An 11,253-nucleotide genomic window follows, 5' to 3' on the forward strand; every position below is an offset into this window, starting at 1 on the left:
ATCAGTTCATCTGTGGAGATTTGGGTTGTTTGGGTCCAGTTTTGGGGTTTTACAAATAAAGTTGCTATGAACATTTGTGTATAAGTCATTGTATGAACATATGCTTTCGTTTATCCTGAAAATATCTAGGAGTGGAATGGCTGGATCAAAGGGTAGGCATATATTGAGTTTTTAAACTCTTTTATGTAGTGGTACCATTTTACATTCCCACTGGTTCTAGTTGTACATACTCTCTTGCCACATTTTCATTTCTTCCCCATATATCAAAGTTAATGCTTTTCAAACTCTAAAAAATTTGGGTTTGTTTTTGAGACAGGGTCTTGCTCTATCATCCAGGCTGGAATGCAGTGGCATGATCTCAGTTCACTGCAGCCTCCAACTTCCAGGCTCAAGCGATTCTCCCACCTCAGTCTCCTGAGTAGCTGGGTATACAGGTGTGTGCACCACCATGCCTGTCTAACTTTTGTATTTTTTGGTAGAGATGGGGTTTTGTCATGTTGCCCAGCCTGGTCTCAAACTCCTGGCCTCAAGGGATTTGTCTGCCTTGGCCTCCCAATGTCCTAGGATTACAGGCACGAGCCACCATGCCCCGTCTGTTTCATTTGTTTTGTTTTGTTTTTTAAAGAAGCAGAAACCTTTAAGCATAATAATAATAATAATAAAAGGCCATCCCTAGACCCCTAGTGAGGAAAGTGCATAAGGAGATAGATGCTTTGGCTGAAGGGTTGTAGGAGGCATGTGGCGCCTGAGGCCCTGGGCCACCTCTTCCAACTCTGGAGCCCCAGGAACACATATATGTAGACACCCACTCTAGGTGACAAGCATGAGTCAGATTTGACTTTCACTTAAGTTCTGGGCCACAGCACCTGCCAGCCACGCTGAGAACCTCACCATGACCTCCAAACTGACAAGGCTTGGAGGTGGCCCAGACGCAGCAGGCTGGACTATGAGGTGATATCTGTCGCTGGATAGAATAGGTTTTTCAGGATATAAATACTACCTGTCCACCACCATGACATGTCAGTCAAACTTCCTCCATCTCCAAGACAAATATCAGAAACTGCATGACTCCTGACACCAGGAACAAAGAAACAAATTGGGAACATCATGTGCAAAAAAAGATTTTAATAAAGATTCAGCGGCTCCGTGCATAGATCCTGCCATACTGCTTATTGTGATCTTGACAGTGATGTTGGGCGAGAATGAATAGACTGTGAGGCCATTCATATTCCAGGCACTGATGAGCCCAATGCAGCCTAAATGATGGCTGACTATAGACAGGGACCCTTTCAGGGGCTGCTTTGGGGGACCTCTGGCCTCAGCCTCTTGGCCTCTGCAGGCTCTGCGACCCTGAAGCTGAGGTTTCTCACTGGCCTGCAGGGAGCCTGAAAAAGGCAGATTCCTGGGCCCTCAACCTTCATTTGCCCTCCTGAGCCAGGACCCTGAAGAGCTGCATTTTTACCATGCTCTCTGTGTGTTTCTTCCTCCTCCTCATTCTGCTTTTTTATTATAGAAAACTTTAAACATACACAAAAGTAGACAGGAAAGTAAAATGAACCCTATGCACCCACAGCCGGGCTTCAACAGTTACCCATAGATGGCCAGTCTTGTTGCATCTCTACTCCTACTCACTGTCCCCAGTATTATTTTGAATCAAATCCCAGACATCAAATTATTTCATCCAGAGACAGGTCCCCCTATCTAAAACATAAGGGGATCTTTTTAAAGACATAACCATAATACTATTATCCCCACCTAAAAATGAGCACTGATTTCTTTCTGGTGCATAGTGGAGTGTGAGGACCATGGCCTAAGCTCTCTCAGCCAATGGGGAGGTCACTTCCTCTGGTAGTGGCAGCCGTGCCTGACACGTGTTGCAAGAGGGTGGCATTTTTAAAGGAAGCCGGCAGGAGCTCTACTTCTGGAAATCCAAGCTCATAAGTGAAAAACAGCACCAAGTTGAGCTGACCCCTTGTGTTGCAAAGGGGGCCTTGGGTCCTAGGCAGGACTATTATCTAGAATCTTGCCATCCACACCTTCTATTTGTTTTTAAAGCCAACTTTGCATTTTAACCTAAGGGGTGCAGAGAAGCCACTGTCAAGTTCCCTATGGAGTAGTTCCTGGGGGCTTACCAGTATGACGTCACTCTGGGCAGTCTTTGAATATCCAGTCAGACCCCCTGGATTTGATGTGTGGCTCTGCAGTTTACGCACTGTGCATTAGGAAGCTGGCGCTTGCTGTAATCAGCTGGCAGGGGTGTTTTTTGAGATAGTGACAGTAGACGACATGCTGATAAACAGGCTGGATGCTGGGAGTGTCTGGTGATGCAGGTCACCCATCTTCCCCTGCTTGCCTGTGCCCACTGCCTACCCAGGGGTCCATGCAGATGGTTTTCCAAGCCCTACCTTCATCCCAAGAGCTGGATTCATGGTTTCTTGCAGATGCCAAATAGGAACCAGCTGGGATTCCCAGCACTCAGACCCCCCGAGGCTGGTGGGCAGAGACAGGCCCTGTTGGGGCTCTTGCTCCAGCTGTCCCCCTTGGAGAACCCTCTGCAGTGTGCAGCGAGGCACTCCTGGGCTGACTGTCTTCCAGCCCTTGCTCCTGAAGGCACCATTTCACACACATCCCAGGCCCCTTGGAACTGAGATGGCCGTGGCCGCGGCCTTGGCCGACCAGGTGTCCCTTGATTCCAGTGAGGAGCAGGGACATAGGAAAAGGAGCTTTGCTGGTGGAGGAGGCTGCACAAAGGAGCAGTGGGATGCCAAGGTCTCCTATTGCTGTCCATCCTCAGGGCTGAAGGCTGCTCAGTAGGAAGCAGCCAGGAAGGTGGGCTCATAGGAGCTGCACCCAGTACAGTGGGGCCAAAGTCTTAAAGGCTCCCCAATAACAGGGCCTCTTCCTCTAGCAGGGGCCACAGTGCGTGCGGATTGCTAGACAGTGGACAAAGGATGGGTTGTATCTTTGAAGGCCTAGGAGTCAAAGCTACTCTGCCTCCTTCAGCTGCTGGGGGTTGGGGGGCTGAGGAGTGTTCCACAAGGGCCCACTCTCTCCAGGAGCTGCTGCCTACTGGCTGGATAGACACAGCTTGGCTCGCTCATGCCCAGCGAGACAGAAAGAGTTAAGCTGCTGAACCTGAAGGCAAGGGAATGCTGGTTGTGCTGCTGCGTGTGGGAACCAAACTAAGCAGCCGAGACAGGGCAGACAGTGTAAGAAAGCTGGTGATGAGAGCTGCTGCTGAATAAAATCATCTTTTACCTTCCTACAGCCCCCTAAGTGTTCTTTCTGCTCATCCACCCACTGCCTTCAGACCTCAACATGACATTTGGCATAGTCATGAACCTGACAGGGGGAAACAGTCTTGGCTTTGGAGTCAGGAGGTCCTGGGTTCTACTCCCTGCAACGGGGAATCAGTTGGTACAACCATAATAGGGGGAAGTTTGATGGCATTTTTTAAAATCATAAACACATCAGTGTATCCTTTGACCTAGCAATTCCACCTGTGCAAAAGGGCAGGTGTACAAGGAAGTTCATTGCAGTGTATTTGTAACCACAGAAGACTGGCAACATCTCAATGCCTATCTATAGTGGGCAAGTTTAATAACCTGTGGTTATTTCATACAATAACCTCTTAAAAAGAATGAGGCAGTTCCATGCATTCATTGCTACAAAACAATTGTCAGTGATATTAGAGGGAAGATCTACTTCTGGAAATCCATGCTCATAAGAGAAAAATAGCACTAAGTTGGGCTGACCATTTGTGTTGCAAAAGGGGACTTGGGTCCTAAGTAGGGCCATTATCTAGAATCTTGTCATCCAGGCCATTTATTTGTTTACTTATTTAGCGATGGAGTCTCCCTCTGTGGCCCAGATTGGAGTGCAGTGGCACCATTTCTGCTCACTGCAACCTCCGTCTCCCAGGTTCAAGCGATTCTCCTGTCTCAGTCTCCCTAGTAGTGGGGATTATAGGCACCACCATGATTGGCTAATTTTTGTATTTTTAGTAGAGACTATGTTTCACCATGTTAGCCAGGCTGGTCTCGAACTCCTGACCTCAAGTGATCCACTCACCTCGACCTCTCAAAAGTGCTGGGATTACAGGTGTGAGCCACCATGCCTGGCCAATATTTTTTTTAAGTGCTCTCCTCAAGCTAATGTCTAGATTCAATAGAATGTCAATCAAAATTCCCAATTTTGGGGGAACTTGACAAGCTGATTATAATTTATATGAAAATGTAAAGGCCCAAGAATAGCAAAGACTTTCCTAAGAATACATTCTTTCTTACCAGATATCAGAACTTATAACAAAAATTATAGTAATTAATCTAATGTAGTGCTGGTGAAAGCATAAACAAGTAGACACAGGGCATAGAATAGAGTTTGGAAACAGACTCTCATGCATATGTGGACACTTTAAGACAAAAGGAGCAGAGCACAACACTGGGGAGAGGAGTTCTTTTCGAGAAATTGGTGCTGAATCAATTGGATGCTCATTTGAAAAAAAAAATTAAGCTAGACTCCTACGTCACACCACATGCAAATCAACTGCAGGCTGGGCACAGTGGCTCACACCCGTAATCCCAGCACCTTGGGAGGCCAAGGCAGGTGGATCACTTGAGGTCACGAGTTCAAGACCAGCCTGGCAAACATGGTAACCCTGTGTCTACCAAAAAATATAAAAATTAGCCGGGTGTGGTGGTGCTCGCCTGTAATCCCAGCTATTCGGCAGGCTCAGGTGGGAGAATAGCTTGAACCAGGGAGGCAGAGGTTGCAGTGAGCTAAGATCGTGCCACTGTACTCTAGCCTGGGTGACAGAGTGAGACTCTGCTTCAAAAATAATAATAATAATAATAATAATAATAATAATAATAATAATAACTGCAAATAGACCATAGTCCTGAATATGAAAAGGTAATAACAATAAATCTTTTAGAATTGCTCTGTTCATGTATGACTATTGAGCACTTGAGATGTGCTATTAAGTGTAAAATTTGCACTGGATTTTAAGCACTTAGTAGAAAAAAACTTAAAATATCTGTATTTTAACATTAAAATTTTGAAATAATAATTTGGATACACTGAGTTAAACATTACTAAAATTAGTTTTATCTAATTATTTTTGTTCTGTTAATGTGGATACTAGATAATTTTAAATTGCATGTGTGGCTTCCTATTTTTATTGAAAAGCACTAATCTAGAAGGTAATAGAGACATATACCTTCAGGACATCAAATTAGGAAGAGGTCTGTTAAATTGTATTTCAAAAGTTTGAATCAGGCAGGGCGAGGTGGCTCATGCCTGTAATTCCAGCACTTTGGGAGGCTAAGGCAGGCAGATCACCTGAGGTCGGGAGTTCAAGATCAGCCTGACCAACACAGAGAAACCCTGTCTCTACCAAAAATACAAAATTAGCCAGATGTGGTGGTGCATGCCTGTAATCCCAGCTACTTGGGAGGCTGAGGCAGGAGAATCGCTTGAACCCAGGAGGCGGAGGTTGCAGTGAGCCAAGATCGTGCCATTGCACTCCAGCCTGGGCAACTAGAGCAAAACTCCATCTCAAAAAAAAAAAAAAAAAAAAAAAGGCATGAATCAAAACGGAAAAGACTAAGAGATTAATATTTGACCACACTGATATTTTGCTGTCAAAAAGACATAATTAAAAGACTAAAAAGCCACAGAGAAGAAAATACATTTGCAGCACCTACAACTCTCAAAGGACTTATGTCAATAATATATAAACTCCAGCAAATTGATAAAGAAAAGACAACCCAGTAGAAACAAAGGAAAACATTTGGAATGGATGCTTCACAAAAGAGAATTGTTAAATGACCAGTAAACATAAAAAAGTGTTCAGCTTCATTAATAAGTCAGAAAATATATATTAAAACCATAATGAAATACCCCTACAAACCCACCAGAATTACTATAATTAAAACAGTCAACAAGATTGTGGAGCAACAAGAATATATATTTATTCTTGTTTTTAGATGTCTCTCTCTATATATAAATGTGCACCCAGAGACATCTAAAAACAATGGTCATGAGAGCATTATTTGGAATAGCCCAGGTTGAAACCACCCAATGTCCATTAGCAGTTGAAGGGCTAAATAAATGGTGGTATATCACAGAAGGGCACAGTACATAGTAATGAAAAAAAAAGAAACCACAGCTATATATGACAGCATAAATGAATTTCACAAGCAAAGTGTTGAGCAAAAGAAGCTGAATAAAAAAGCATGCAAACTACATAATTCCGTTTATATAGGGTAAAAACAAAAACAAACACAAACTCAGCTAAGGGGATCTACAGTGTTAGGAGTCAGGATGAGGGTTCCCTTTGAGGAGGAAAGAGAAGACAGTGTTTGGGAAGGGCCATGGGCGGATTCTGGGGTGCTGTCAATGTTCTGTTTCTTGACTTGTGTGTTACAAATGTATATTTTGGGCTGGGTGCAGTGGCTGACGCCTGTGATCTCAGCACTTTGGGAGGCCGAGGCAGGTGGATCACCTCAGGTTAGGAGTTTGAAACCAGCCTGGCCAGCATGGTGAAACCCAGTCTCTACTAAAAATACAAAAAAATTAGCCAGGCATGGTCGCAGGCACCTGTAATCCCAGCTACTCGGGAGGCTGAGGCAGGAGAATCGCTTGAACCCCAGGGGGCAGAGGTTACAGTGAGCCAAGATCACACCACTGCACTCCAGCCTGGGCAACAAGAGCAAAACTCTATCTCAAAAAAAAAAAAGTGTATTTTGTGATGAATTCGTGTGATATATATATTTTTGAGGAGAGCGTCGTTCTGTGATGAACAATAAAAAGGTTTTGTTTTGTTTTTATTTTGTATTATTTCAAAATATTTTTTAAAATTTAATATCTAAATATGCTATTTAAATATTCAAAATTTCTGATGATGGTTTCACTTTTCCATCATGACATTTTTGCGGTTAAATCAGTTAATTTCTTTGGGAGGCCAAGGCCGGCAGATCATCTGAGGTCAGGAGTTCGAGACCAGCCTGACCAATATGGTGAAACCCTGACTCTACTAAAAAGACTAAATAGGCCAGGTGCGGTGGCTCACGCCTGTAATCCCAGCACTCTGGGAGGCCGAGGCGGGCGAATCACGAGGTCAGGAGTTCCAGACCATCCTGGCTGACATGGTGAAACCCCATCTCTACTAAAAATACAAAAAAGTTAGCCAGGTGTGGTGGTGGGCACCTGTAGTCCCAGCTACTCCGGAGGCTGAGGCAGGAGAATGGTGTGAACCCAGACGCGGAGCTTGCAGTGAGCCGAGATCGCGCCACTGCACTCAAGCCTGGGAGACAGAGCGAGACTCAGTCTCAAAAAATAAAAATAAAAATAAAGACAAAATATTAGCCAGGCATAGTGGCGCATGCCTGTAATCCCAGCTACTTGGGAGGCTTGAGACAGGAGAATCACTTGAACTCAGGAAGCGGAGGTTGCAGTAAGCCGACATAGAGCCATTGCACTCCAGCCTGGGCAACAAGAGTGAAACTCCATCTCAAAAAAAAAATTCAATTAATGTGATTAAATCAATCAATTTTTGTGGTTGGGTCGGTTCTGTGATTGAGTCATTTTGTGCTTAGATCAAGCCCAGCCCTGACAGCCTTTAAGAGTGCCAATAAGTATATACACATGTAATTTTTGTTTTTTTGAGACAGAGTCTTGCTCCATCACCCAGGCTGGAGTGCAGTTGCGCAATCTCGGCTCACTGCAAGCTCCATCTCCTGGGTTCACGCCATTCTCCCGCCTCAGCCTCCTGAGTAGCTGGGACTACAGGTTCCCACCACCACACCCAGCTATTTTTTTTTTTTTTTTTTGTATTTTTTAGTAGACACAGGGTTTCACCGTGTTAACCAGGAAGGTCTTGATCTCCTGACCTCGTGATCTGCCCACCTCAGCCTCCCAAAGTGCTGGGATTACAGGTGGGACCCACCACGCCCAGCCATATACGTGTAATTTCTTTTATATAATTTCAACTTTTATTTTAGATTCAGACAGTACATGTGCAGGTTTCTTACATATCATGTGATGCTGAGGTTTGGGGTACAAATGATCCCATCACCCAGATCATGAGCATAGTACCCAATCGTTAGTTTTTCTGCCCTTGCCTTCCCTCTCTCTTCCCTCTGCCCCATCTAGTAGCATCTTGTGTCTGCTATTCCCATCTTTATGTCCATATGTACCCAATGTATGTCCATATATCCCACTTGTAAGTAAGAACATGCAACATTTGGTTTTCTGTTTCTATGTTAATTCTGTTAGGATGATGGCCTCTAGCTGCATCCATGTTGCTGCAAAAGACATGTTCTTTTTTATGGCTGTGTAGTATTTTACAGTATATATGTACCACATTTTCTTTATCCAGTCTACCATTGATGGGTATCTAACTTGACTCCATGTCAAGATCACACCACTGCACTCCAGCCTGGGCAACAAGAGGTCCCTGCGCCCCACACACAATGACCCCGCATCAGGGTCCCTGCGCCCCACACACACTGACCCTGGATCGGGGACCCTGGGCTGCAGAACCCATCCATGATGTTTCTGTGCCCCTGGCTCTGGTGGCATTGGGACCCTCCAGGCTGGGCTGAGCAGGGCCCCCCCACCAGTGTGTTCCAGCGGGAGTGGACCTGGATTGGGGGGCAGGGATTGACACCCAAGGGGACCTGCCCCAGCCTCCTCCTGTACTGTAGGGGTTCTCGTTTTCCTTGGCTGAGGGAAGTGGCCTCTCCCTGCTGAAACTTGGGGTCGGGCTGGGTGTGAGAGGAAACGGGGGTGAGCAGGACCCCAAACCTTGGGAATCCTGAGTGTGTGTTTGGGGGGGTTGGGGGGCAGGCCTATGATGTGCCTGGGAGCTGTCTGGGGGCCCTCCTGGGGAGCCAGGCTCACACACTGTTGTGTGGGACTCAACGTGGGGCAGTGTCCTGGCCAGGATGAGGAAAGCCATCACCCCGGGGTTTGCGGGAGATACATGCAGGCTAAGATCTCGCCCACCCGGCTCCCCGATCCACTGCAGCCAGAGTCCCTCAGCCTTGGCCAGGACCTGAAGTCCGAGCGCCATCCCTGGGTCTACCCGGCCAGGCGGGCACCCCCCGCTTACAGGTCATCCCCACCCCCTCCATCTGCTTCCGTTAGAGTGACAGCTACCTTGTCCTGGTGCCCTGGTTGAGGGGGGAAGCTGCCCTTGGACCCGCATCGGAGCCGCGCAGCGCCTTCTGTTGGCAGTTGTTGGAAGTGCAGCCTGGCGTGAGCAGTGCCTTTCCCTGTAGATGGGACCCAGGGCAGCACAGCTGGAAATGGGGGATGGTAACTTGTGGAGGTGATCCCCACTGTCCACTGACAGCGGCAGTAGTAGCTGCGGACTATGCAGACTCAAGACAGCCCCAGCCCATGTCAGCACCAGGAGCTAAAACGGAGTCAAGGGTTTGGTGTGGGGACCAGCCGGGGGCAGGCCTGGGGAGCCCATTTGGCAATGCGGGCAGGAAGGCGCCCACTCTGGGACTGTCTGGGCCTGCCGGGGGTCTCCAGCCAGAGAAGGTGGGTGTGATGGGGCGCCCAACCTCGAAGGGCTGAGTGCCAGGCCGGCCCTGGGGGCCCGCGCTGCCCACACGGACTAGATGAAGTCCAGAGGCGCCCACGTCCCACTGGCTCAGGGCGCGGGCCTCAAACAGCTGCTTAATGAGTGCTGACTTCTCCTGCTCCAGCTGCGTGATGCGCTCACTCTTCTCTGTCACCTCCTGGGTGAGGAGTCGGTTCTGCTCATTCAGCATGAGGATGGTCTGCTGCTGCCGGCCCAGGGACGAAGTGGACGTGCGGGCAGGACCGGGTGGGGGGCGGAGGAGGACTTGGACAGGGCCTGGCTGGCACAGGCCGCAGCCAGCAGCTCCCTCAGGCACCAGGCCACCTCCTGTACCTTGGGCAGTAGCCGCCCCAGTGGGCGGGGGCTCCCGCAGCCCCATAGTCGGTGCTGGTGCTCCTGCACTCATTGCAGCTGCTGCTGGTACCAGCCGCGGCCCCGCGCCGTCATCTCCAAAGCCTGCAACTGCACAGCCTTCTCTGCTCCAGCTTCTTTATCTGCTTCAGCAGGCCGCAGTCCATACCGCTGGTGATGGTGTGACTCCGACGTTCCCCTGGGGCACTGGAGGCCCGCCAGGCATCCCCTGAGTCCGCCTCCCTGGCCCTGGGCCCTGCAGGCCACTGCACCTGCGTCTGCACTCCGGCTCGGTTCCAGCGCGGTGCTCTGGGACAGCTCCGGCTCCACGGGGCAGGGCGCCGCCTCGGCCCGGGAGCACAGCTGCTCCGGGCTGCGGGCCGCGCCGCTGGGACGGCCAGATGGCCGCGCACGCCCAGGGGCTGGGGCTTCCTCTCCAGGACCGTCCGCGGCTCTTCAGCGGGCGCTAACACCAGGCGCTGCCGCGGCGGCGGCGGCGGCGGCGGCGGCGGCTGGTCCCTGGTCCCGGCCAGGGCGCATGTGGGGTCCCAGGGGCCGCCATCGGGCTCAGCAGCGTGGTGCGCAAGCCGGCCACGAAGCGCTCGAAGGTCAAGTAGCCGCTGGCCTGGGCCACCTGGCACAAGCCCTCCAGCACCCCGCGTGGCTGCTCCCACGTGTTGGCGCCCTGCCAGCGAGACTGGATCTCGTGCAGGTGCCTGCAGCCGCACCGCCTGTTGTCCAGATGTGGAACAGGGTGTGCAGGCTCTGCAGCAAGGCGCGCGGCAGCCCCTCAGTGCTGGGCGCGGGCGCAGGCACGGGGGTAGGCACGCGGCCCCGCTCGGCCACGGCGGCCATGGCCACAGGTGCCCGGGCTCGGTCCCCTCCTCCACCCGCGTGTGTTCCCGGGCGGCCCCATGGAGGGGCCGGCCCAGAGCGCTCCCAGATTTTTTAAAGCTGAAAAAAATTCATTTATCTCTAAATTTGCCATACAAGTAGTGTTAAAGTCCTTCAGGTTGAAATAAATGAACTTTAGGCAGTAACTATATAAGTAAATAAGCAAGCTATATGAATATATAAAGCTCTTTGGTAAAGGTGAATACTTAAACATAAAAACAGTATTATTATAATTTTGGTTTGTAACTCCGCTTTTTATTTTCTACAGAATTTAAAAGACAAATGCATAAAATATAATTATAAATCTGGTAGGTGGTATACAATGAATAAAGATAATTTGTTAGGTGGTATACAATGAATAAAGATATAATTTGTTACATCAATAACGTAAAAAGAGTAGAGCTATATAGCAG

General features: G+C 48.9%; 1 pseudogene; it reads right to left on the reverse strand.

The window, feature by feature from the left end:
- On the reverse strand, window positions 9,443-10,885 carry SAPCD2P4 (suppressor APC domain containing 2 pseudogene 4; annotated as a pseudogene).

This window comes from Homo sapiens, chromosome 7 (genome assembly GCF_000001405.40).
Source record: "Homo sapiens chromosome 7, GRCh38.p14 Primary Assembly".
NCBI lineage: Eukaryota > Metazoa > Chordata > Mammalia > Primates > Hominidae > Homo > Homo sapiens.